The sequence below is a fragment of the Homo sapiens genome, chromosome 21 (assembly GCF_000001405.40).
Source record: "Homo sapiens chromosome 21, GRCh38.p14 Primary Assembly".
Lineage (NCBI taxonomy): Eukaryota > Metazoa > Chordata > Mammalia > Primates > Hominidae > Homo > Homo sapiens.
Genome location: NC_000021.9, coordinates 43600590 through 43628301, shown reverse-complemented (window position 1 = coordinate 43628301; position 27712 = coordinate 43600590). Strand labels below are relative to the sequence as shown.

General features: G+C 42.9%; 1 protein-coding gene and 1 non-coding gene across 18 annotated transcripts in view, besides 1 other annotated feature; both read left to right on the top strand.

Moving 5' to 3' along the window:
* HSF2BP (heat shock transcription factor 2 binding protein) overlaps nucleotides 1-27712 on the top strand; it is a 214517-nt gene that overhangs the window by 31187 nt on the left and 155618 nt on the right. For 15 of the 17 annotated variants that reach the window (XR_007067782.1, XR_007067781.1, XR_007067780.1 and 12 more), the window contains one exon: nucleotides 14355-14472. The exons of the other annotated variants lie outside the window; for them this stretch is intronic. Coding sequence is in view for 12 of the 15 variants with exons in the window: in XM_017028269.2 (XP_016883758.1) it covers nucleotides 14355-14472 (118 nt within the window). In the remaining 3 variants the exon portion in view is untranslated. The remainder of the gene's footprint in view (nucleotides 1-14354; nucleotides 14473-27712) is intronic. 17 annotated transcript variants of the gene reach the window in all.
* Nucleotides 14244-14303: a silencer, noted in NCBI's record as "silent region_13361". NCBI's record gives its function as "represses an Ori minimal core promoter by ATAC-STARR-seq in GM12878 lymphoblastoid cells {active_cell/tissue: GM12878}" and the evidence as "EXISTENCE:reporter gene assay evidence [ECO:0000049][PMID:35858748]".
* Nucleotides 18313-18415, top strand: MIR6070 (microRNA 6070). Its single transcript, NR_106718.1, has one exon. It is a non-coding gene; the product is annotated as a microRNA 6070 (primary transcript).

Below are 27712 nucleotides of genomic sequence, written 5' to 3'. Positions count from 1 at the left end.
TAATTTCTATCGAGAACTTTGCATTTGCAGTCATAACTTGGCTGTTTGGCACAAGAGGTCTAACTTTCAGCAGGTCTCAGCTTTGGCCATGCCTTCACTAAGCTTAATCATTTCTAGCTTTTGCTTTCAGATATGTATCTTTTCCTTTTGCTTGAACATTTAGAGGTCATTGTAGGGTTATTAACTGTCCGAATTTCAGTATTGTTGTGTCTCAGGGAATAGCAAGTTCCTAGGAGAGGGAGAGAAACGGGAATGGCCAGTCATTGGAAAAATCAGAAGATAAGTAGCATGTATTGATTAAATTTGCTGTCTTACATGGGTGTGGCTCATGGTGCCCTAAAACAATTACAGTGGTAACATCAAAGATCATTGATCACAGATGACCATAACAGATGTAATAATAATGAAAAAGTTTCAACTATTGCAAGAATTACCAAAATGTGACACAGAGACATGAATTAAGCACACACTGTTGGAAAAATGGCACCAACAGACTTGCTCAATGTAGGGTTGCCACATTCCTTCAATTTGTAAAAAAACAGTATCTGCAAAGCACAATAAAGTGAATGCAATAAAACGAAATGTGCCTGTAATTCTTTTCAGCTGTAGTGACTGTTACAGAGACTGGTGTTTACAGTCAGGGTTGAGAGTGTGTAAACATCTCTCAGGAGTGTTTTCAGATATTAATGCTGGGGAGCACCCTGGATAATCTGATTCCATAGTTCTGGGATAGGTACCGGGTATGTTTATTTTGGAAAATCACCCCAGGTGATTCTGATAAGTATCAGTTATTAAGAATGAATGATCTGAAGGAAACAGATGAGTTTGCATGTTCTGTGTAGTTATGTACCTTGACAGAAAAAAACAAGTAAGTTTAGCTGCTTTTATTCAGAATCATAATTTTACTGTCTGGCTAGCTAAAGTAAAAGCCTTAAGCTAAGCTTAAGCTGAGCTCTTTGCTGTTGTTTTAGTATAATAATTATATAATTCCAAAAACCTAAATTGCCTCTTCAGTAAAATTCTCCTAAAAGATAATAAAGTAAACCTTTCCCTGAGAGTTATGATAAAATTCCGTCTCAGAACTATCATAAGGGATAAAGTCCAGGAACTAAATAATTTCTCAGTATAGAAGCAAGGCATGGTGGCTTACGCCTGTAATCCCAGCATTTTGGGAGGCTTGAGGCGGGTGGATCATTTGAAGTCAGGAAGAATTCGAGACCAGCCTGGCCAACATGGGGAAACCTGTCTTTATTAAAATACAAAAAAATTAGCCAGGCGTGGTGGCGCACACCTGTAATCCCAGCTACTCAGTAGGCTGAGGCAGGAGAATTGCTTGAACCTGGGAGGTGGAGGTTGTAGTGAGCTGAGATCGTGCCACTACACTCCACCCTGGGTGACAGAGCAAGACTCCGTCTCTTAAAAAAAAAAAAAAAATTTCTTGGTATAGAAAGAGGTGGAATGTACTAGTGAGTATTGAGGCTCTTTGTTCTGAAGTCAGTGAAATGGTTCAATACATTGCTGTGACTTATCAGCCTTAACGAGATTCAGAAAATATGACTAAGTACAGAGTTTATTTGTGCACAGAGCTTGACGGTGGCCACTCAGAAACACCAACTTCAAACCAGTGGGGTCAGGGTTCCAAAGTGAAGAAGATATCACTGATATAGGCAGAGACAGAGAAGTTCCAGCAGGATTAGAACATTTTCCATACAAGACCAGTGTGTGTGCCACAGTGATTTGACTGTTTATAGATTGCTACATTCCAAGGAGGGTTATCTGAGGAAGTCTTATCTTCAGCAGTTTGGTCTTAATTATTTACAGGAAAGAAAAATGCAGAATTTGCAGCCGCATATCTACATTCCTCACAATGGTTGGGATAATTTAAAGTCCCAACAGCTTTAAGTTTGAATTATTTAATTTCAGACTTTTTTTTTTACATTGATCTTTAATCTCTGCTTTATTTGCTTTATTATTTTCCCATGCTGTTCTTAGGAAAATTCTCTGCTGTTAAAGTGAGAGAAAATTTTATTTTTCTTTTGGTGTTATTCTTTTATTGAAATCCTAATGGGGTAGGTCTGTGTAGACATTTGTTTCTTAATCCTTTAAAACTTGATGATAGTTCTTGCGGGGTGGATGCTGAGACTGTGATGTTTTCTGGCTATTCCTTACTCCAGTGCAGGGCAGCATTCTATACGTTCATCATGGCACCTACAGTTGTAGCAGGCTTGCATTGCCCTCCCTTTAAAAACATTGTTTGAAGGTTGTCTTTTAACAGAAGGCATTTGCAAATTAAATAATTTGCGTTTTCTTCTCTTTGCAAGTGACCCCAAAGGCGTATGACCTATGTGACTTGTCATGTTGCTGGTTGTGAATCTGAGCTGCCTGAATTGCTGGCTGACATGCTGGTGAGGCAGTGGGCTGTGAGTGAAGCCGCCCTGTTGCCCAGCATTCAAGCTCAGCGCGGCTGTTTTCCTGTGTTTGTGGTGGTTTACATAGGAACTCTTATGAAGAGTTGGATAGTGGGCACTTATATTTGCATGTTAATGAATTTGACTGGGAAGAATATTTTATTAAAGTGCTGATTTGCAGAGGCTTGGGGGCTTATGAGTCTCAAATACCAAGACTATCCTGTGGGGATAGGTAATAGAGACCATGGGTTAGCTCTCAAATGGATCCTTTTCCTTCTGAAACAAATGTTCTTTTTAAAATTTTACATACAGTGAATTCATTCTTTAGTTTTTTTTTTTAAACCTTTTTGCAGTTCTGTAAATTTCTACAAAAGTATACAGTCATTTACCCACCACAATTAGGTTGTGGAACTAATTCCTTCCCCCAGACTTCCTGCACGCCATCCTTCTGTAGTCCAGTTCTCCACTCATCACCAGCCCAAGGCAACCACTGATTTTGTGATTTGTTCAGTATTTTAGCTGGGGTTTTTTTATTTTTTATTTTTTTTGCTGCCTTGTATGGTGTCCAGCATATGCCCCAGGTGAGCAAGTGCTTGCTTCATGTATCTGCTTGGAGGCTGTTGTCTTTCGTCATTTTTCAGATTGGTTGGCTGATGTCCAGCCTTAGCTCTCTAATGTGTTCAAGAAGACCTGTGATTTTGGTAAATTATCTCTCCCTCTGCCCCCGGAAAGAATGGGGTAGCTGTTACCAGTTTTCTGTATCCTAAGCTAAAGCTGGAAATCAGAAATTTATTTAAACCTTGAAATTGTTAAATTTCTACTCAACTGTAGTCACTGTTCTTTAATGATAGGTTAGTGTAGTGCAGAGGTTTGGCTCAGTGAATCTACTTCCCAGGATGTCAGTTCTCTGGACATCTGTAAGGTGGAATAGTAACATCTGCTCTTATTACTTTACATATTGTGAATTTTCTACTGAACCGTAGTAAATGATAGCACATTGATATCAATGTGATTGTTTCCAGTAACTTGGATAAGAGGGCAAATGAAGAGTGTGAAAGAGACGGAAATCTTCACAGTCCTGTGAAGATTAACTGCTTAACTTCCTAGTGAAATCTTTTAAATGCTTTTTCTGCTTTTCAGTGATTTGAAAATCATGATTGTACTCCTTGTCTCTGGTTTATGTATTCAAATAATGTTAGATAATAATTGCAGCATCAAAATTACTTTTTGATGATTGATAATTTGGGGGCAGGACTGGATCCAGCTTAGTCTTCCAGGGACCTTCCTAGTTACACAAAGTTACCAGCAGAGCACCTTTGTGTCAGTGACCGTGGCTGCTCTTGGCCTGCCAATCCCTCCTCCTCCACACGCTCACACCAACACATGGAGGCAGTGTGGCGTGCAGAAAAGGCCAGGTGGGGCTTGAGGCCTCATGTCCATTGCTGCTTCTGCCACTGACTAACCCTGTATTCTTGAATATATGACCTTCGGTTTTTGTCTTCTGAGAAGAGTCTGACACTAGATGACAATTATGGTATCCCAGTCCTAGAATTGTGTGACTCTGCATGTGGAAGAATAAGGTGCCAGTTTTGAGCTTAAACTTACTGGTCTTCTGTTGTCAGAGTCTAAGTCAGCAGTGAAGGGTCAATAAACAGGCATTTGGGTTGTTTCCACCTTTTGACTGTTATGGATAATGCTGATACGAGCATTTGTGCAGAAGTTTATGTGTGGATGTATGTTTCAGTTTTTCTGGGTATCTACCTCGGGGTGGAATAGCAGGGTGTAGTAACTCTGTTTAGCTTTTTGAGGAACTGCCAGACAGGTTTCCACAGTGACTGTACCATTTTATGTGCTGGTGGCTCCCTTTCCCCATGTCTTCAGAACAGCCCATCTTTTTCTAGGTGTGCAGGAGTCCTTGTTGCTGTTTTTGGTTCTTTGAGCACCCATTTGTTTCTCATGTACCTTGATCTCTAGGAGAGATCATTAGCATTGTCCTGTTTCCCCCATTGTGGTTGAACCTCCTGAAAGGTGAGGTTAGTTTGGAGAGAGTTGATTTACAACTTGAGCACTGATCAACATTATTTTTTCGTCTTTTTTTTGCGGAATCACCTGTTGAATCATCTGTCAGGACAATAGCTGAACAGAAACTTTTAATGCAACAGGTAGCAAACAAATATAATTTGAGGCACTATAAGAAGGAAGACCACTCTGGAACCTTGACCCAGGTGACTTCATCACCAGCCTTGTATTGACTCTGTACTTTTAAGATGAGACCCTCTTAACAAACAGCATAAAGTCAGGCTTTGGTATGGGAGTGTCGTCTACAAGATCTCTTCTGGGCATGGACACTTGTTGGACTACGGAGATAACCTTGAGGCTCTCGAGGTTTCATTAATTTTCTGCATTTTTTAGTTTTAATTTCATGTATTTATGGTCTGATCTTTATTATTTCTTTCCTTCTAGTATTTTTGAGTTTAGTTTGTTCTTTTCTATTTCCTTGGTGCATCATTAGATTGTTTATTTGGAGTCATTCTACTTTTTTGATACAGGCATTTATTGCTATAAACTTCCCTCTTAGTATCGCTTTTGCCATGTCCTAGAGATTTTGGTATGTTGTTTTTCCATTTTCATTTGTTTCAAGAAAATTTTAAATTTCTTCCCAATTTTTTCATTGACGCATTTGGTTGTTCAGGTGTATGTTGTTTAATTTCCATGTGTTTATATAGTTTCTGAGGGTCCTCTTGCTATTAATTTCTAGTTTTATTGTATTGTGGTCAGAAAAGATACCTGAGCTGGGCATAGTGGCCCATGCCTGTAATCCTAGCACTATGAGAGACTCAGGTGGGAGGACTGCTTGAGGTCAGGAGTTTCAGACGAGCCTGGGCACATGGCAAGATCCTATCTCTACGAAAAAAAAAAAAAAGCTGTTTGATATGATTCTACTTTTTGAATTTGTTGAGACTTGTTTTGTGGTATAAGATGTTGTCTGTAATGGAGAATGTTCCATATGCTGATGAAAAGAATGTATATTCTGTAACAGTTGGGTGAAATGTTCTGTAAAGATTCAGGTCTATTTGGTCTAGTGTGTAGTTTACCTCTGATGTTTCTTTGTTGATTTTTTTTTGGTCTGGACCATCCGGCCATTACTGAGAGTGGAATGTTGAAGTCTCTACTGTTATTGTACTGCAGTCAATTTCTCCCTTTAGATTTATTAATGATTGATTTATATACTTGGATAATGCTGTGTTGGGTGCATAGATATTTACAATTGTTATATCCTCTAGCTGAGTTGGTCCATTTTTCATTATATAGTGACTTGGTCTCTTTTCACAGTCTTTGACTTGTAGTCTATTTTGTCTGATATAGATGTAGCTACTCCTGTTTTTTTTGGTTTCCAGTTGCATAGATATCTTTTTCCACCCTTCACTTTCAGTCTGTATGTGCCTTTATGGGTGAAGTGGGTTTCTTGTAGGCAGCATGTAGTTAAGTCTTGTTTCTTTCCATTCAGCCACTCCATATTTCTTTTAATTAGAAAATTGAATCTGTTTATATTCAATGTTACTATCGATAAGTAAGGACTTATTACTGCTAATTTGTTGCTTGTTTCCTGGTTGTTTTGTAACTCCTCTTCTTTTTTCTTGCTTTCTTACTGTCATCCTTTATGGTTAAGTGATTTTCTCTGGTGTGTTTTAGTTCATTGCTTTTTATTTTTAGTGCATCTATTACAGATTTTTGCTTTGTGGTTACCATGAGGCTTACAAAAAAATCTTTAGATATAACAGGTTATTTTAAAGAGATGACTTATCTTTGATCACAAAAAATAATAGAAACAAAGAAAAAACTAAAAATACCCCTATACTTTAACTCCATCCCCCATATTTTGACTTTTTGTTATCTCAATTTACGTGTTTATATTACCTGTCTTTTAATAGGTCGCTGTAGCTCTGATTGTTTCTGTTTCTAGGCTTCACACTAGAGTTTTGCATGGATTGCACATCATGAGTACAGTATTAGAGTATTCTGGGGTTGTCTGTGTACCAGTGTGTTTTATATTTATTTTATATATTATTTAAGTATTTCTTTTTCCAGTGGGTTTTATACCCTCAATTTTTTTCTTTCTGCATGTTAGTGTGTTTTTCTTTCAGTTTGAGGAACTTCCTTTAGCATTTCTTCTAAGATAGGTCTGGTTGGTGTTAAATTCTCTCAGTGTTTGTTTGGGAAAGACTTTATTAGTCCTTCATATTTGAAGGATGGCTTTGCTGGATACGATATTCTTATATAGTGTTTTCTTTCTTTCAGAACCTTGAAAATATCATCCCACTCCTTCCTGGCCTATATGGTTTCTTCTTCTTCTTTTTTTTTTTTCTGAGACAGAATCTTGCTCTCTTGCCCAGGCTGGAGTGCAGTGGCACAGTCTCGGCTCACTGCAGCCTTCCACTCCCAGGTTCAAGTGATTCTCTTGCCTTAGCCTCCTGAGTAGCTGAGACCACAGGCATGTGCCACCACGCCTGGCTAATTTCTGTTTTCTTAGTGGAGACAGGGTTTCACCATGTTGGCCAGACTGGTCTCAAACTCCTAACCTCAAGTGATCTGCCTGCCTTGGCCTCCCTAAGTGCTGGGATTACAGGCATGAGCTACTGTGCCCAGCCTGGCTTGTATAGTTTCTGTTGAGAAGTCTGTCACCAGATGAATTGGAGTTCCTTTGTTACTTGTTTCTTTTCTTTTGCTGTTTTTAAGTTTCTCTCTTTATTTCTGAATGTTGAGAGTTTGATTAGTATATACCTTGGGGTACACTCATTTAAGTTGACTCTGGTGTTCTGTGGTTTTCCTGTAGCTGGATATTTATATCTTAAGTTTTGGAAGTTTTCTGTTATTTCTTTGAATAAGCTTTCTACCCCTTATTGTTGCTCATCACCTTGTTGAACACCATAATTCTTAGATTGGGTCTTTTGAGGTAATTTTCTGTATCTTGTAGGTGATCTTCATTCCTTTGGTTTTTTCTTTTTCTCCTCTCTGTGTTTTTGATAGCTTGTCTCTGAGCTCAGTGATTCTCTGCTTGATCCATTCCGCTGTTGAGAGCCTCAAATTAATTTTTCAGTTCAGCAAATGTGTTTCTCAGTTCCAGGATTTCTGTTTGATGGTGATGATGATGGTGATGATGGTGATGATGATGATGATGATGATGATGTTGATTTTTTAGAGATGGGATCTTGCTCTGTTACCCAGGCTGGAGTCTGGTGGTACAATTCTAGCTCACTGCAACCTCGAACTCCTGGGCTCAAGCAGTGCTTCCACCTCAGCCTCCTGAGTAGGTAAGACTACAGGCGATCACCACAGTGCTTGGCTAATTTTTTATGTTTTTTGTAGAGATGGGGTCTTGCTGTGTTGCTGAGGCTGTTCTCAAACTCCTGGCCCCAAGGCCCCTATCTCAGCCTTCCACAGTGTTGGGATTACAGTCATGAGCCACTGTGCCCAGCAGTTTGATTGTTTTAAGTTTCAATCTCTTTATTAAATTTCTCTGACAAATTTCCGAATTACTTTTCTATGTTATCTTGGAGATGACTGAATTTCCTTAAAACTACTATTTTGAATTCTTGGTCAGAGAGCTCATATATTGCCATCTTGTTAGAGACAGTCACTGGTTCCTTGCTTTGTCTGTTTGGGGAGGCCGTGGTTCCCTGTTTCCTGTTGTTTCTTATGGATATATGTCTATGTCTTTGCATTGAAAGAGTATTTATTCCAGTCTTGTCTGTCTGGGTTATTTTGTTTTTTATTGGATATGTTTACTTAGAGATTCTTTGTAATTTACTTGTTGAATTTCTTCCTTTTTTTCTGCTAGGTTGCTGCCTCTTTATAGGCACTAGATGGTGCCTTAAGCCCAGGTTTACCTTGGCTCTAGGGAACCATCAGAGTATTGCCCATCCCGAATGGGGGAGGTCACAAAGAGGATAACCCGGCAGTGTGGGAATACTGGCAAGGCGTCTGTGCCCAGGGGACCTGTGGGACATACCTTCTACTGTGTGCATCTGCTGAACAGCCGCTCTGATTTGGTGTCTTCTCTGGCCAAGTTACAGAGCAGCGTTTCCAGGGCTGGGAATAGTAGTTCTGCTTCCCCACTTTGCCTCTGGCTATCCTCAGGGATAGTTTCCCTTCAGGTACTTACAGTGGTTCCCATGGGTTGAAGCAGGGACAGGTCTTCTGCCAGGGAACCTAAGATGGTGGGACAGTAGTTGTTCACCTCCATCTGCTTTTTCCAGTGTAGCAACTGAGTTGTGGAAATTTTCCTCACGCTTGGTGCTGGGCACATTATGGAGACGGGTGTCACAGGTATGAAAGTCCAGTTGTCTTACTGTCTGTTCAGAGTTTTTTCACTTGTCTGTTGCCGTGAGAGCTGTCTGAGCCTCATATTTAGAGTTCTGGGATATTGCTGCTGATAATCTTGGAGCTGCTGTATGTTCGTTTTTGGTTTTCTTTTGGGAGGCAGTGAAGCCAACTTGCTTCTATGCCACCATTTGGAACTAGAAACTCCTTGTTGCCCATATTTTAATTGGGTTATTTTCCTTTCTGTTACTGAGTTGTAAGAGGTATTTGTAATATACTAGTACCTTATCAGAGATATGATTTTGAAATACAGCCATACCTCAGAGATACCGTAGGTTTGGTTCCAGATTACTGCAGTAAAGCAAATAGCACAATAAAGTGAGTCACATGAATTTTTTGGTTTCCCAGCATATATAAAAGTTGTGTTTACAGTGTACTTTAGTCTGTTAAGTATGAAATTAGCTGGGTGTGGCGGTGCAGGCCTGTAGTCCCAGCTACTCAGGAGGTTGAGGGTGCAGTGAGCTGCGATTGTGCCACTGCACTCCAGCCCAGGTGACAGCGTAAGATTCAAAAAAATAAATAAAGAATTTTATAGCTTTAATTTTTTCTTTTTTTTTTTTCTTTTTTTGAGACGGAGTCTTGCTCTGTCGCTCAGGCTGGAGTGCAGCAGTGCGATCTCCACTCACTGCAAGCTCTGCCTCCCGGGTTCACGCCATTCTTTTGCCTCAGCATCCTGAGTAGCTGGGACTAAGGCACCTGCCACCGCGCCTGGCTAATTTTTTTTTTTTTTTTGTATTTTTAGTAGAGACGGGGTTTCACCATACTAGCCAGGATGGTCTTGATCTCCTGACCTCGTGATCTGCCCGCCTCAGCCTCCCAAAGTACTGGGATTACAGGCGTGAGCCACTGCGCCCGGCCAGCTTTAATTCTTATATTCAGATCTTTGATCCATTTTGAGTTAATATTTGTATATGGTGTGTGGTAGGTATTCAACTTCCTTCCTTTGCATGTGGATATCCAGTTGTTTTAGCACCATTTGTTCAAAAGATTATTCTTTTATCATTTCTCCATTGATTTGTCTTGGCACCTTTGTTGGAATTCAGTTGACCATAAATGTGAGGATTTATTTCTGTACTCTCAATTCTACCATTGATTTATATGTCTATCATTCTGCCAATACCCTATTATTACTTTTTTTGCTCAAAATAAGATGAAACTATTACAGTCTAAAGCAAAAGTATCAGACATAGTACGTCTCAACTCTGTATATCCTTTTCAGCACAAATAATTGACACCAGATTCTTTTTTTTTTTAAATGGGGTCTCACTTTAATTGCCCAGGCTGGAGTACAGTGGCCTGATCATAATTCGCTGTAGCCTCAAACTCCCGGGTTCAAGCAATCCTCCCACCTCAGCCTGGGTAGCTGGGACTATAGGCATGAGCCACCACACCTAGCTAATTTTTATTTTTATTTTTGTAGAGATGGGGTCTCATTATGTTGCCTAAGACTCATCTCAAACTTCTAGACTCAAGTGATCCTCCTACCTTGGCCTCCAAAAGTATTGGGATTATAGGTGTGAGCCACTATGCTTGGCCCAGATTTATTTCCTTTTTTGTTTGAGACTGAGTTTTGCTCTGTTGCCCAGGCTGGAGTGCAGTGGCACCATCTCAGCTCACTGCAGCCTCTGCCTCCCGGGTTCAAGTGATTCTTCTGCCTCAGCCTCTTGAGTAGATGGGATTACAGGTGCATGCCACCACACCTGGCTAATTTTTGTATTTTTAGTAGAGATGGGGTTTCTCCATGTTGGCCAGGCTGGTCTCAAACTCTTGACCTCAGGTGATCCACCCGCCTTGGCCTCTGAAAGTACTGGGATTACAGGTGGGAGCCACCGTACCTGGCCCCATTTCTTGAATTATGTAATTACTATACTAATCTCTAGAATTACCTATAAGCACTTTTAATGAAAAATGAACCTAGAAAAATCATTTTAACAGAAAAATTAACTGGCAGTTTTTTAGTTTTGGTAGATGGTAACAAAGTCAATTCTGTAGGCCTTGAATTGACTCACAGGCATTCTAGATAGATTAAATATCAGTAAGCAAAGTACAAATTACCATGTAAAACAAAGAAATTCCAACAGATTGACAAATACTGAAGCTGTGTAGGAATTTATTCACATTTATTTTACTTTGTAGTTCATGTTTTAGTGATATTTAATGAAATGCAGCATTGGCATTTGCAGTTAAAATACTAGATATATGATACAGACTTCATTTACCAGTACATTTGTTGTGTTGGGCATTGTTGCTTGCTATGAGATACATATATATATATTTTTTTTCTTCAGCGATGTATTAGTAATGTTTCTATTTTCTATTGCTGTGTAACAAACCTCCTCAAAATATAAAGTCTTAACATTTATCTTGCTCGTGGGTCTACAGTTTGGTCAGGCTTGGCAGGGACAGTTTGCTGCTTCTGCTCTCCAACATCTGGGGCCTTAGCTGGGATGACTCAAATCGTTGAGGGATGGAACAGCTGGGGGCTAGTGGGGTGTCTTTCTCTCTCTTCTTTCCTCATAGAGTCTCAAGGCTTCTTCACTGTGCTATTTCTTATCCTTTTTTTCCTTTTTTCTTTTTTTTTTGAGATGGAGTCTTGCTCTATCACCCAGGCTGGAGTGCAATGGTGTGATCTCAGCTCACTGCAAACTCTGCCTCCCAGGTTCACACCATTCTCCTGCCTCAGCATCTGGAGTAGCTGGGACTACAGGCACCTGCCACCGCGCCCGGCTAATTTTTTGTATTTTTAGTAGAGACGGTTTCATCATGTTAGCCAGGATGATCTTGATCTCCAGACCGCGTGATCCGCCCACCTCGGCCTCCCAAAGTGCTGGGATTACAGGCGTGAGCCACCGTGTTTTTTCTTTTTTTTAAAGACAGAGTTTCGCTCTGTCTCCTAGGCTGGAGTGCAGTAGTGCAATCTCGGCTTACTGCAGCATCCACCTCCTGGGTTCAAATGATTCTCCTGCCTTAGCCTCCCAAGTAACTAGGATTACGGGTGTAAGCCACGACGCCTGGCTAATTTCGTATTTTTAGTAGAGACAGGGTTTTGCCATGTTGGCCAGGCTCATCTCAAACTCCTGACCTCAGGTGATTCACCCACCTTGGCCTTCCAAAGTGCTGGGATTACTGGCGTGAGCCACCACATCTGGCCTTCACTGTGCTATTTCTGTGTGGTCTCTTCATCATGGCAGCCTTAGGGTAGCTGGACTCTTTCATAGTGACTCAGGGATCCTAGAGCAAGTGGCAGGAGACCAAAGTGGAAATCTTAAGGCTTCTTCCTGTCCATCCTTGGAAGGCTCATGGTGTGCATTCTGCTGCGTTCTACTTGTTACAAGTGAGTCGCAGTGTAGGTGACTACTCAAGGGTCTGAACATGAGGCCAGGCCCACCTGGTAGCCATCTCTGGAGTCAGGCTACCAAATAGTTCTATGTTGCTTGCTATGATATATATATATATATATTTTTTTTTTTTCTTCAGCGATGTATTAGTAATGTTTCTATTTTCTATTGCTGTGTAACAAACCTCCTCAAAATATAAAGTCTTAACATTTATCTTGATCATGGGTCTACAGTTTGGTCAGGTTTGGCAGGGACAGTTTGCTGTTGCTGCTCTCCAACATCTGGGTTTCTGCTGGGTTTCAGTATATTATCTGAAGTTATTTACATGAATAATGCTTTCCCCTGAAAAGCTACCTAAAAGCTATCTTTTATGTGTTTCTGATGCCAAATGCTTACTTGCTTTGTTTTTCTCCTAAAATATTTCCTTAGTAAAACTAGAATGTGTCATATTCTGGAAAATGTACCTATCAGGTTAAAATTCATTGACCAAAGAAGGTAAGTTTATGTCATTGAAAGGTTCTGTCAATAAAGTTATGGCTGTCATCAAAGCGTGTACTTGAAGACACTGCACCAATGATATAGTTAAAATGCTGCAAAGACAAGTAGAAAGGGGGAAACATCTGTTAGGTTTAGTAGACTTTACTATCCCTCTTGTGGTCCATCTGAGACCAGGTGAACAAAAGTAAATAGTAATGTCAAAGATCTGAGTTCATGAAGCTGGCCGGGTAACATGAAATTTTATATTCTGCCATCAGATTACATCCAGTCAAAGGCAGAAGAAATAAGTGATAAAATTCAGCTTCCATTTTTGATAATTCTTAGCAAGCCAAAAATAGAAGAAGACTTCTTTAAACTGATAAAGGGTATCTACCAGAAACAGATCAGACATCACACTTAACTGTGAATTTTTAGAAGCGTTTCCATTAAAATCAGGAGCAAGGCAGTGCTGCTGCCCCATCTCTTTTCCACCTTGGTCTCGTCATTTGGCTTAGAAATCTTAGTCAGTTTGAATCATGCTTTACTGTCAGACCCAACTAAAGAAAACTCTTAACAAACACATACATAAATGCACTTGGATCATTGGATACTTCGAGGTATTTGGAAATGTTGATGGAGCCAGTAATGGCTGCAGCACTGCCCATTGGGAGCAGTGTAATTACTCGGTCTGGTCTTCAGGCCGATTCGCAGGGCCTCAGGCATGAAGAAATGGGATACTTGCTGTTCCACAATGGGACATAAAATTGAGAAAATAAGTTTTCTTCAAAATCCATTTTCATACTCTTTTTTGACTACATATAATTTCAGTTTGTATCATGGCTAAAAGTTATTAGCAAATATAGATTGAATATTCCTTATCTGAAATGCCCGGGACCAGAAGTGTTTTGGATTTTGGAATACTTGCATTATACCTACTGGTTCAACACTCTAATTCAAAAATCTGAAATCTGCAATGCTCTGTGAGCATGACCTTTGTGCATCTTTGTCAGTGCTCAAAAATTTTTAGATTTTGGAGCATTTTGGATTTTGGGTTTTCAGATTACGGATGCCATTAAAAGTGAATTTTCACATCCTCAGTCCCAGATAAGATAATCAGCCCCCACCTTATGTTTGGACCCTGACTGCCCACAGCTGTTTAATGCAGCACTCTGGAGCATAGTGACCGCAGACTTGGTTAGATTCCAGGGCTCTGTTTCACTCTTTCGGCGCTTGCTAATCACACTGCACATTACTTGATATTTCAGTAACTCTTGTGGTTGTCAGTGATTCTTTCTGAGCTGTCATTTTTGTTGATAATTTTTTTTTTTTTTTTTTGAGACAGGGCTTTGCTCTGTCACCCAGGCTGGAGTGCAGTGTCATGATCATGGCTCACTGCAGCCTCTACCTCCTAGGCTCAAGCAATCCTTCTGCCTCTACCTCCTGAATAGCTAGGACTACAGGTGCACACACCGTGCCCGGCTAATTTTTAAATTTTTTGTAGAGATAGGGTCTTGCTGTGTTGCCCAGGCTGGTCTTGAACTTGTGGCCTCAAGCAGTCCTCCCACCTCAGTCTCTCAAAATGTTGGGATTACAGGTGTGAACAACCATGCCTAGCAATTTCATTTATAAATGCCTCATTTTCAGCTGTGTTTTCATTAGGTCTTTTAGGAGAAAATACTCTGTTCTGCACAAAATTGTCTAGGTTCTGAGTCATAATGATCTTGATGTTTTGTTTCATTTTCTGTTGCAGATGTTGCTGCTATAGCATGTGGTCGTGAATTCTTGGTTAATTCAAGCCGGGTGCTCTTGGACACCATATTGCAGCTTCTGGGAGACTTGAAGCCAGGACAGTGTACCAAACTCAAAGTGTATGGTGGATAATGTTAAAAAGTTAATTCTATTTACATATTAATTAGACTGTGCTGATTGGGCCTCTCTTCAAGTAAACACAGTTAATTTTGGTGGTAGTTTTAAAAACTAGAAGAAATAAATTCCTGGAGAAGTTAAGGGCGTGCACTGTCTCTTAAATAGCATTTTAGAAAATAAATTTAAGGAAGGAATGTTCTCACCTTAGAGCAATCAGTGAGTCCCAGTATTATCACATGGTACTTCATGGGTATGTCAAAATGAATTTAAATAGGTATCTGTCTTCCAGCTACTAAAATCTGTATTTGTTTTCTATTTTTATGTAACAAATTATCACCAACTTGGTGGCTAAAACAACACCATTTATTATTTCATAGTTTGGCAAGTCAGAAGTCTGAGTGGGTTTGAGAGGTTCTCTGCATAGGTCAAAAGTGAGGTGTTTTCCAGGGTGGGATCTTTTCAGAGAATCTAGGGGAGGAATCTGCTTCTGGGCACTTTGAAGTGGCTGGTAGAGTCCAGTGTCTTGGTTTCTAGGAGCGAGTTCCCTGTTTCCCAGCTGGCTGGTCAGCTGTGGGTCAGCTGCTGAGGCAGCTTGCATTGCTTCTCACAGGGACCCCATCTTCAAGCCACAGTCGCTCATTGAATCCTTCCCACGTTTCCAGTCTCTGAGACTTCCTCTTCTGCTACCAGCAAGATGAAACTCTCTCTGCTTTTATTCTTTTGTTAAAAAGTTTACTTCAAGAAGGCAAAAACTCTGCTTCTTATAGATTTGTGTGTTTAGATGAGGCATACCTGGATAAACTCCTTTTGATTAACTCTTGAGTCAGCTGGTTAGTAACCTTAATTACATCTACAGAATCCTCTTTTCCAGGCAATGACATAATCAGCGTGTGATAATTTATAGTCCCAGAGATTAGGGCAGGAAATCTTGGGGAGAGGGGCAGTGTAGGATTCTGCCACTCACACTGTTCGTTCTGAGTGTTGCCTTTGACTTCTTAGAGCATCTTTATTTTTTAATTATTTTTTTAAAGAGACCGAGTCTCTACAGACCTTGCCTAGGCTGGCCTCAAACTCCTAGGCGTTCAAATAATCCTTCCACCTCAGCCTCCTGAGTAGCTGGGACTACAGGCATGTGCCACCATCCCCTGCTGTGGAGCACTTTTTTTTTTTTTTTTTTTTTTGAGACGGAGTCTTGCTCTGTCACCCGGGCTGGAGTGCAGTGGCGTGATCTCGGCTCACTGCAAGCTCCGCCTCCCGGGTTCACACCATTCTCCTGCCTCAGCCTTCCAAGTAGCTGGGACTACAGGCGCCCGCCACCACGCCCAGCTAATTTTTTGTATTTTTAGTAGAGACGGGGTTTCACCGTGTTAGCCAGGATGGTCTCAATCTCCTGACCTCGTGATCCACCCGCCTTGGCCTCCCAAAGTGCTGGGATTACAGGCGTGAGCCCCTGCGCCCGGCCTAGCACTTTTAAAAAGTAAGAGCTTCTGTAAAGTCTGTGCCAGGTGCTTCCAACACCTGTGTCATCCTGGCCTCGGTGTCTCTTGATTGTTTTTTCCCATGAGAGTTGAGATTTTCCTGTTTCTTCATATGCCAAGTAATTTTGGATTTATCCTGGACATTTACGTGATCACTGGTCTTGTTTAAATCCTTGGGAAATGCTGGTGTTTATATTTTCACAGGCAGTCAACCCCTTTGGGTCAGATTCCAGCCAGCCTTTTCTCTGTTTGGTTTCAGTGTGTCGTCCTGTTTTCAGAGTCTTTACAGTGCTATTGGAACTGCCCCTCGTGAGTGCCGCCCAGTGGCCAGTCTGAGACCTGGGTGGTCTGGATCTTAGGTTCAGAGTCTTTCAGATACTGTTTATGATCAGATCCACACAGGCACAACTTGGGATGAGGCCAGGAATTTATAAACAACTTTTTGGGGTCACTTTTCTGAGCTGTTAACTCTCTGGGTACACTTTAGTTACCTGGGACTGCCTTTTTCAGTCCCCCACCTGGAATGCTGGGGCTTCATATACCCTGCTGTGTCCAAGTGCCTGCAACTCTGCCCTCATCCCGCCCTGCGGCAGGAGTTGAGAAGCTCTTAGAGCTTTCAGGTGTAAGGAAAAAATTCCTTTCCCCCAGAGTTTGAGTTACCTGGGGGATGTCCCCACTGCTACCGTGCTTGGTTGCTGGCAGGAGACCCCTTTCCCACTCCTTGAGCCTCACTAGAGACCTTCTCCTGGTGCTCTCTGTGTGGCTCAGGGCTACTTTTGGGTTTTGGAGCTCCCTCGAGTCCAGGCCAGGGACACTAAAGGAAAAAGTGGTAAACTCTCTGCTGGTTTAGTGGTTCTTAAAATTTTGATCTTCTTCCCCTATCTGCCTGCTACTGTTTACTTTTCAGAGTCCTCAAATAGCTGCTTCATGTATTCTCTTTGGAATTTATAGCTGCATTCAGTGGAAGCGAGACTGGAGGGTGTGTTCAGGCCATCTTATCCAGAACCAAGCTTTCTAGTCCATTTTAATATTTTGTGCTAACAAATATCTATACATACATAATACATATAATACAGTGTAACATATATGCAAAAAAAATTTTTTTTTTGAGACAGAGTCTTGCTTTGTAACCCAGGCTGGAGCACAGTGGTATGAACATGGCTCACTGCAGCCTCGACCTCTTAGGCTTAAGTTATCCTCCCAGCTCAGCCTTCTGAGCAGCTGGGACCGTCAGTGCATGCCACCATGCCTGGCTAATTGTTAAATTTTAAAAATTTTTTTGTAGAGACGGGGTCTCTCCATGTTGCCCAGGCTGGCATAGATGGTTTTGTTTGGGGGTATAATTTTACAAATTGCTTGTGGATCTAGTTCATTCCTTTTAAGTACCTTGCATCAAAGGAGATGTAATATTTGGATTATCCTTCCCTGACTGATGGGCATTTAAGTTACTTTCGGGTTTTACTTGACAAATATAATGCCGTAGTGAGCATCCTTGATAAACTCTTTGCTAACCTGTCTGAGAGTTCTCCAGGAGTTTTCCCAGAGGAAATATTTGAGAAGTAGTACATGGACATTTTCAATTTGATAAGATACTGCCAAATTGGTCACCATAGTGTACATTTCTACCTGCACCATGTCAGTGTTCGTGTTTCCCACGTCCTTGTCAGCACTTTGCTATTTATTATATTCCTCTAAAGAGAAAAAATATATGTGTATATGGAGAGAGAGGTGCCGGGGGAAGAGGGGGAGAGACAGGGTCTTGCTGTGTTACCCAGGCTGGAGTGCAGTGGTGCAATCACGGCTCACTGCAGCCGCGACCTCTGGGGCTCAAGTGATCCTCCCATCCCAGCCTCCCAAGTAACTGGGGTCCCAGCTACTCTGCACGCCACCATGCGCAGCTAATTTTTTTTTTTTTTTTGGTATTTTTTGTAGAGACAGGGTCTCACCTTGTTGCCCAGGCTTGTCTCAAACTCCTAAGCTCAAGTGATCCACCTGCCTCAGCCTCCCAGAATGTTGGGATTACAGCGTGAGCCACTGGACCTGGCCTTAAAGAGTATTTTTATCATCCACCTATCATCTGTCTGTCTTTGTCCTTCTCTCCCTTCCTTCAGATTTAGATTGCCAGTGAGGTTGAGGCTCTTCACATGTTTGTACCATTCCAGTTTTTCCTTTGAGTCACCTGTCTGTGTCTTGTGCCCACTTTCCTGTTGGGCTGCATTTTTCTTAGTGATCTGCTGTAGGTCTTTGTGTGTTCTGGATACTAATCCATTGCCTCTTTTGCTTCTGTGGTCTGTACAAGGTCCATATTTATGGGCCAGCTAAAGTCCCCCTTCAACTTCCAAGGCAAAGCTGTGTGTGAGGGCTGGGTCACTTCTAGCCTCTCCGGTTCCAGTCCCTGGAGCTCTGTGCCTTTGGGTCCTGGTGAGCTCTTGTTGATTGCAGTGGGAGATGGGGAGAATTGCCTTCAGAGCCATTCACTGACTTTCTTGGCAGTCTTCCATTTGGCCACTGAGCAAAGCCGCGTGTTTACCCTCTATCCTGACTCGGGATCTCAGCATGCACCAGCCTGAGAGGGGCCTTCCCCCTGGGATCTTTGGCTGCCTTCCAACATGCTCATGGCTTGTTCCGTCTCACCACATCTCCAAGGCACTCTTCTCCCCTCTTTTCACCTCCCCCACTTCACTAACGCCCACCCTTGAGTCCTCTGGAGCCCCAAGACCTTTCTCATACTATAAATCAGCCTCTTTTCTTCCTGGCCTCCCCCTGCCTTGTGTATAGCTTGCCTCTCTCTGGGGAACTACACTTTCACTGCCACTTTCATGATCGAAGGTCACTCATTTTCAGCAGTTAGTACCTTAGACCCAGAGATAGGGGTTATTTTTTTCCTAGTTGCCCATTTTTTAAAAAAATTTAAATTTAAATTTTAGATTCAGGGGGTACATGTGCAGGTTTGTTACAAGAGTATATTGCGTGATGCCAAGGTTTGGGCTTCTGTTGAATCTGTCACTCAGATAGTAGATATAGTACCCAATAGGAGATTTTTCAGTCCTTGTTCCTCTCCCTCCCTCTCTCCTTTTGGAGTCTCCAGTGTCTCTTGTTCCCATCTTTATGTCCGCGTATACCAAGGGTTTAGCTCCCACTTATAAATGAGAACATGCAATATTTGGTTTTCTACTTCTGGATTAATTCACTTAAGATAAGTGGAGGCAGCCTCCAGCTGCATCCATGTTGCTGCAAAGGACATGGTGGTGGTCTTTCTTTCTGGCTGCGAAGTATTCCATGGCTTGTATGTACCACATTTTCTTTATCCAATCCACTGTTGATGGACACCTGGGTTGATTCTATGTCTTTGCTATTTTTGTTTTGTTTAGTTTTGTTTTTGAGACAGGGTCTGGCTGTTCCATTCACACTGGCATGCAGTGGTGCTATCTTATCTCACTGCAGTCTGAAAATCCTGGGCTCAAGCAATCCTTCTGCCTCGGCCTCCCAAGTACTTGGGATTACAGGCATGTGACATCATGCCTGGCTAATTAAAAAAAATTTTTTTTTTTTTGGTAGCGATAGGGGTCTCACTTTCTTGCCCAGGATAGTCTTGAACTCCTGAACTCAAGTGATCCTTTCACCTCAGCCTCCCAAAGTGCTGGGATTTCAGGCATGAGCCACCACTTATCTTTGCTATTGTGAGCAGTGCTGTGATAAACTTATAAGGGCAGGTGTCTTTTTGGTAGAACAATTTTATTTTCCTTTGGCTATTTACCAAGTAATGGGATTGCTGGGTTGAATGCTAGGTCTGTTTTTAGTTCTTTGAGAAATCTCCAGACTGCTTTCCATAGGTGCTGAATTAATTTACATTCCCACCAACAGTGTATACGAGTTCCCTTTTTTCAGTGGTTTTGCCAACATGATGTTTTTTGACTTTCTAGTAATAGCCATTTTGACTGGTGTGAGATAGTACCTCATTGTGGTTTTGATTTGCGTTTCCCTGATGACTAGTGATGTTGGGCATTTTTTCATGTTTCGTTGGCTGCTTATATGTTTTCTTTTAAGAAGTGTCTGTTCTTGCCCTTTGCCTGCTTTTTAATGAGGTTGTGTGTTTTTTCTTGTTGATTTGTTTAACTTAACTTCCCTATAGATTCTGGATATTAGACTTTTGTTGGATCCATAGTTTGCGAATATTTTCTCCCATTCTGTAGGTTGTCTGTTTACTCTGTTGATAGTTTTTTTTGCTGTGGAGAAGCTCTTTATTTTAATTATGTCCCAATTGTCAATTTTCGGTTTTGTTGCAATTGCTTTTGAGGACTCAGTCAAATTCTTTGCCTAGGCCGATATCCAGAAGACTATTTCCTAGATTTTGTTCTAGGACTTTTATAGTTTGAGGTCTTACATTTAAGTCCTTAATCCATCTTGAGTTAATTTTTATCTGTGGTTAGAGGTAGTGGTCCAGTTTCATTCGTTTACATATGGTTAGCTATTTTTCCCAGCACCATTTATTGAACAGGGAGTCCTTTCCTCATTGCTTATTTTTGTCAATGTTGTCAAAGGTCAATTGGCTGTATGTGTGCAGCTTTAATTTCTGGGTTCTGTATTCTGTTCCATTGGTCTATGTGTTTATTTTTGTACCAGTGTTATGCTGTTTTAGTTAGTGTAGCCTGGTAGTATAGTTTGAAGGTGGGCAGTGTGATGGCTCTAGCTTTGTTCTTTTTTCTTAGCGTTGCTTTGGCTATTTGGGCTCTTTTTTGGTTCTATAAGAATTTTAGAAGAGTTTGTTCTAATTCTATGAAAAATGATGTTGGTAATTTAATAGCAATAGCATTGAATCTGTAGATTGCTTTGGGCAGTTTGGACATTTTCATGATATTGATTCTTCCAGTCCATGAACATGAATGTTTTTCCAGTTGTGTCATCTATGATACTTCTTTCAGCAGTGTTCTGTAGTTCTTCTTGAAGAGATCTTTCACTCCCTTGGTTAGATGTATTCCTAGGTTTTTGTGTGTGTGTGTGGCTGTTGTAAATAGGATTGTGTTGTTGATTTGGCTCTCAGCTTGAACCTTTTTTTTTTTTTTTGAGACAGGGTCTCACCCTTTTACCCAGGCTGGAGTGCAGTGGCATAATCACGGCTCACTGCAGCCTCGACCTGCTGATCTCAAGCGATTCTCCTGCCTGAGCATCCTGAGTAGCTGGGACTACAGGTGTGTGCCACCACACCTGACTAATTTCTGTAGTTTTTTGTAGAGACAGGGTTTCGCCATGTTGCACAAGCTGGTCTTGAACTCCTGAGCTCAAGTGATCCGCCTTCCTTGGCTCTTCCCAAAGTGCTGGGACTACAGGCTTGAGCCACCACACCTGGCCTCCAGTTCTGTGTTGAATAGGTGCGGTAAGAGTGGATATCTCTATGTCTTATTCCAGTTCTTAGGGGAAGTGTTTCTTCTAGCTGCCCATTTTTATTTTTAATGAAATGTCCCAGAATGCTCATTTTTAAAAGGCTGTTTCTCTTCCAATCTCATGCGAATTTTTTTCCTCCTTGAAAATTCAAGCAACCAGTTGCTCTCTTCACATCCAGCCTTTCTCATCACTGTACTTTTCTGACCATCCAGGCATTTCCCTTGTTCACTGAGTACTGGCTTGTTGGTGTCCCCCTCCCCATTTCCTGCTATCTTGAATGACTTGAACATGTTTAGGGGTGATTCATTCAACAATCTAATTTCAAGGCCACCTGCCTTTCTCAGCTCCCAAGATTTGCTGTGCCCTTCACTGTGGCAGTAGTCTGCCTTGGGCCAGACCCTGCACATTGTCATCAGGTGGACTGTCTGGTAAACATTGCTGTAGCACTCAGGCCATACCTCCTCTCCTCCCTGCCTCCTTTTCCTACCATTGTTCCCTCTAAACTGCAAGACCTCCTGCTCCTCCTCCCTCCTCTTTCCTCCTGCTCACACCATTGCCTCCATGGCCTCCCCTCCCTCCAGCTCACCCAGCCCCAGTGTGCATCACATTTCCTGATGCTTTCAACCTTGGATCAGCCCAGCCATCCTTCTTCTCTGTTCCTACAGCTGGGGCTGTTGAGTGAGGTTTGGGAAGAAGCTTTCTTGTGTGCACGGACTCTCGTCATTTCTCCCGGTTTCCAGCACCCTGGAATCCTCTTCTATGTCCTTTCTCAGCTCCCACTCATTTCCACACTGGTGGAGGCAGACCTCGGGTGTGATCCTCACGGCCTCCCTGCTCTGCTCTTCCTTGGTAGGTGGGTGTCCCGGCAGGCGGCTTTACTTCCTGCTCTGCTCTTCCTTGGTAGGTGGGTGTCCCGGCAGGCGGCTTTACTTCCTGCTGCACAGAGTCAAGGGTGTGAGTGTGGCCGCCTCAGCTTGGCCCTCCCTTGTTTATTCCACTCCCCTTTGCTTTTTCTTCTCACGTGTCAGAGGCACGTATGGCCTGGATGTGTGTGTGTGGTGTGGGTGTGTATATGTGGCGGGGCGTGGGGAAATGAGGATGTATTTGGGTGTGGTGTATGTGTATGTGGGTATTTTTTGGGGTGTATGGTGTGTATGCGTTTGTGTGGGGCATGTTTATGGTGTGAGTGTGAGGGAATGTGTGTGGTGTGTGTGTATATATGTTGGGGGGAGGTGGGTGTCATGTGATGTGTGTGACTGTGGTGTGTTTGTATATGTGGGACTATGAGGGATTGGGATGTGTGTATTTTGTGTGTGGGTGGAGATGTGGGTGTGGTATGCATGGTGTGTGTGGCTATGTGAGGGGGATGTGTGTGTGTGGTATGTGTATGTTGGGGGATGTTTGTGGTGTGTATGTACATGTGGAGGGTATGGGGTATGTGTGTTTGTGGGAGGTGCGTGGGGGGATATGTGTGGGTGTGTGTGTGGGTGTGGCGTGTGGGGGTGTGTGGGCTGCATATGTGGGGGTGTGTGTATGTGTGTGTGTTGGAGTGTGTGTGTGGTGTGGGGAATGTGTGGTGTGTGTGTGGTGTGTGTGTCGGGGGGTGGGTGATGTGTGTTTGTGGGCTCTTTCAGCCAAGGCTGGGGCAGTTAGTGCAGTCAGCTGGTGTGTTGTGTGTGGGGTGTGATGTGTGTGTGATCTGTGGTGTGTGATGTGGGTGCGTGGTGTGTGGTGTGTGTCTGGTATGTGTGTGGTGTGGGTGTGTGGGCTCTGTCAGCCAAGGCTGGGGCAATTAGTGCAGTCAGCTGGTGTGTGTGTGGTGTGTCTGATGTGTGTGTGGTATCTGTGTGGTGTGTGTGTGATGTGTGTGATGTATGTGTGTTGTGTTATGTGGTACGTGTGATGTGTGTGGTGTCTGGTGTGTGTGTGGTGGGTATGTGGTGTGTGTGATGTGTGTGTGGTGTCTGATGTGTGTGGTGTGATGTGTGATGTGTGTGTGGTGTGTAGTGTGTGTGTGGTGTATGGTGTGTGATGTCTGTGGTATGTGATGTGTCTTTGTGGTGTGTGTGTGATGTGTGTGGTGTGTAGTGTATGGTGTGTATGTGGTGTGTGGGTGTGGTGTGTGTGATGTGTGGTGTGTGTGGTGTGCGATGTGGGTGGTGTGTGTGGCGTGTAGTGTGGCATGTGTGTGGTGTGGCATGCGAGTGGTGTGCGTATGGTGTGTGAGTGGTGTGTGTGTGGTGTATGTGGTGTCTGAGATGCGTGTGAGTGCAGTGTGTAGTGTGTGTGTGGTGTGTGGTGGTGTGTGTGTGTGGTGTGTGTGTGGTGTGTGTGCTGTATGATTGTGTGGTGTATGATGTGGTATGTGTGATGTGTGTATGGTGGTGTGTGTATATTGGTGTGTGTGCAATGTGTGTGGGGTGTGTATGGTGTGTGTGGTGTGTGTGTGGGGTGTGTATAGTGTGTGTAGTGTGTGGTGTGTGTGTGTATGGTGTGCGTGCTGTGTGTTGTGTGTGTGGTGTGTGCGTGGTGTGTGTGTGGTGTGGTGTGTGGGGTGTGTATGGTGTGTGTGTAGTGTGTGTGGTGTGTGTGTGGTGTGCGTGCTGTGTGGTGTGTGTGTGGTGTGTGCGTGATGTGTGTGTGTGTGGTGTGTTTGTGGTTTGTGCATGGTGTGTGTGGTGTGTGTGATGTGTGTGAGTGGTGTGTGGTATGTGTGATGTGTGTGAGTGGTGAGTGGTGTGTGGTGTGTGCTGTGTGCTGTGGTGTGTGTGTGTAATCCTCCTGCCTCTGTGTTGAGCCTTCCTCTGGGATGTGCCCTGTTGCCTGTCATTTCTTGCTCCAGTATTTCCAGCGCTCCTGCTCCACTGGCTCCTGTTTAGCCTTTTGTCTTCCCAGGCCACGGCTGCCCTTTCAAACCACTAGCCAGCCTGCGTTTACCATGACATGTTGCATTTTCCCAGAATGCAGAGCTGGCTCATGGTGTGTTCTTTTTGCCTCCCCCAGAAATCCCTGTGGGCCCTGCAGGTCAGTGGTGGATCAGACTGGATTCTGCTATTGGGCCACATGTCCATGTCTTTTGTGGCAAACATTCATAGGGTTGTACATGGGACATTGTTGTGACTCAGCCTCTGTGAGTTTTTTCAGTGGCATAGCCTCCCCAGCCATATGGTTTCGGGCTGTTCCTAGTTTATCTGCCTTTTTTTGTGAAGACCCTGTTTTTAACTCTCCAAATCTAGGAACTTCCAGCATATGGTGGCCAGACACACCAGCTGACCTTGGAGGCCCCTCAAGGTGGTTGGTGCTGCCAGCAGGATGACTGGATTCTGTTTACTGTAGTGGTCATAGCTTTTCAGTCTTAGCCATACCTCATGGGTAATTTTCCCCATTCCCATCAGCCTCTCAGGTGTCTGCTGGAGATGGCCACTTGACAGAACTGTGTGCAGGGTGAGCTCTGTCAGCCAAGGCTGCGGCAGTTCAGTGCAGTCAGCTGGTGGCATGCCCCTGGCAGGGTTCTGTCTGTTTCATCTCTGTGTATTTCTCCTTAGTCATTCAGCCATGGAATGACATGTGTCAGGAGTGTCCCCCTTCGTCACCACCTCAGTCCATTTCCTTCCCCTCCGGCCACTGGTCACCCAGGCTTGTGCTCCCAGGGCCTGGTGTGGGCAGGATCTGTGCTGTGCCTGGACCTTGGGATTGCGGGGGGCCCTGAGCGCTGTCCTGGCACTGAGCTGCATGTGGAGGGCCCAGAGTCTCCTTTCTACGGCTCCTCTTTCTCCGCTGCTGTGACATGACCCTGGCGTTTCCATCCTCCTTGATACTTGGTAACACTTAGGCAACTGCAATTATTATTTTTTTTATTAGACTTGTGGATTTCTCCAGCGTTTAAAGTTTCCCTTCCTTTTTTTGTACTTCCTTATGGAGGCCGGGTTATTTTTTTTCCTCACTGCCCACGCTGCCTATGATTTTACCAGTCCTTGAGTAGGCCATGAAAGGCCTTTTCACATCTACACTAGCGGCTTCTCAGGTCAGACCTGCTGGAGGTGTTATTGAAGGGGATGGCAGAAGGCCCAGAGTTTAAGGTGGTTCTTCATCCCGAGTGAGGAGAGAGGCCTCTGGGGTGGGAGCTACCCACATTCCTGAATGGTCACTTGGTTCTCAGGATAACCCTCTCCTTGGATTTCCAGTTGGGGTGTAGTGTCTGTGATGAGAACACCTCTGCTTTTACTAAGCTGAGGTAACTGACACAGTGCATTTCACTGTCAATGGGCCAGAGAATATTTGGCATGTGTGGGAGAACAGTGGCTCAGCAAGGTTTTCTCATCCAGGCACAGGGTAGAGGGTTACAGAAATGCCTCTTGGAGTTTGGGCTCTATGTGGTTCCTGTTTCTCGAAGTTACTGTTGGTTTATCCTGCCCAGCATCTTCCCCAGGTGTTACCAGTTGAATGTCATCAGTGAGAGTATGGCTTGTGAAAGTTTCTGGGTTCTTTGTGCAGATGACTTCAGAAGCAGCTCTGAGCTCTGCAGGAAAACCAGCTCACCTTTGTGGGCAAATGAGGGTGATGGTATCGTCCCATTTCTCTGTGGAGTAGCTGTGTGGCTGCATCTGCAGGTTGGAGCCACCCACAAGCTCCCGTTTTCCAAAGAATTCGTCTGGAATAGTCACAGTGCAGATTGCATTTTTCGAAGATGCTTCTAGAAGTGTTTCCACAAAATGTCTTAAGACAATAGCAGCCTTTTAGAACTAAGTGTGGAGAGGAAGCTGTGAAGCTTGTACCACACTTTGTTCACTAGTTGCTTTGTTTGTCTCTCTCCCGTTTCCTGTAAACTTCTGGAGAGTGTGGAGTCCAGGACAGAGAAGATGCTCAGTAAATGTTGCATGATGAGTGAGAGCAAATCCTCACTTTCTGGGTGTGGTTCTCCCTTGTTTGTTATTAAAAGTTCTACAGAGTGTTACTGTGCATTTTGGTGGCCCGATCCCTTTTTCACATAAGTATTGGCTGAAAAGAAATCTTCAGACATGATGGGGTTTCTAACCAGTTTCCAGTCAAAGCTTTAGTAACTCTAGATAGGAAAGTTATCATTAGGGATCTTGTAAGATAATTTTAAGACATTGCATTACAATTAATTGTCCTAATGAAGGAAGTATGTTTTCAAGACAAACTGTATCTAGATAATGTTCAAATTCCTAAGTTTAGAGTCCTCATCATTTCCAGATATTAACAAAAGTCAATATCTGGAAGTCATTTGGGGCCTGTGAACTAATGTGTATTATTTCCAGGTGGTACAGCTTTCAGCTACAATGTGCTTACCAGCCACTGAATTGGTCTCTGTTGAGTTATAAATTGGTAGATGGTGCTGTGAACATCGGCTCTTCTGAAAGGCATTTTTGGGTTTTACCCTGTCTAGTTTGGTCATTCTGTGTACATTTTAAGAAAAAACAGGTATAGCTAAGTAATTTGCTTATTTGGCCTTTTCAATAAGGAAAAGGCAAATAACCAAATACACAAATAGGCAAAAGAAAAAAATCAGGCAATTTATAGAATAAAACACGCAGCAGCTTCATAAACATGGGAAAGATTCTTGCTCTCCATAGTAATCAGGGGAAAGCAAATTATAACCCTAATAAGATGCCTTTTCGGTGCCTCTCATTGAAAAAAAAATCACAGTCTGATGATTACAAGCTTCCGATTGGACGTGAAGCCACAGTGAAGCTTACACCTGTCCATGTGCTGCTGGAGGGTACGTGGAGCCAGCTGGCCTGTGTCTGTGGAGGCTGTGTCTGCACATGCCGAGGACAGAGTCCCCGTCTGCATGTGTACTCCAGAGAACGTTTTCCATAGGATACCAGGATGCTTGTACAGAAAATGTTATAGCAGTGGTGTTTGTAATAGCACAAACTAGGAAATTACCTAAATGTCTACAAGATGGAGAACAGATAAATAAATTGTGATTAGTTAAAAAGTTGGCATATATCAGTGGAAATAGGTTGGAGCTATAGAAATCAACATAAACAAATCTCACCATGGCGTGGAAGATTGCCTGCAGTATGCTGCTGTTGATGCAGACGTGCAAAGAAAAAAGATTCCATACCTAAAGTATTAGCAATGCGTGGCTAGTTTAAATATCAGACATAGCTGTGGTTACACCTCCCTGAAGCACGCCTTTGGGTAGCGTTCACCAAGGGAATTCAACTCTGGTTATAGGGTTTCTTTCTTAACCAGGGAGGTGGGTATTGTATTATTCTTTATATCTTTTTGTATGTCTTCATTGTAACATAATAGATACAAATTGACATACAGATATTTGAGGATGACATGATATAGACCACAGGTTTTTAGGTTCTAACTTGACTGAGGAAAGAGGCACAGAATCTAAAGTCTG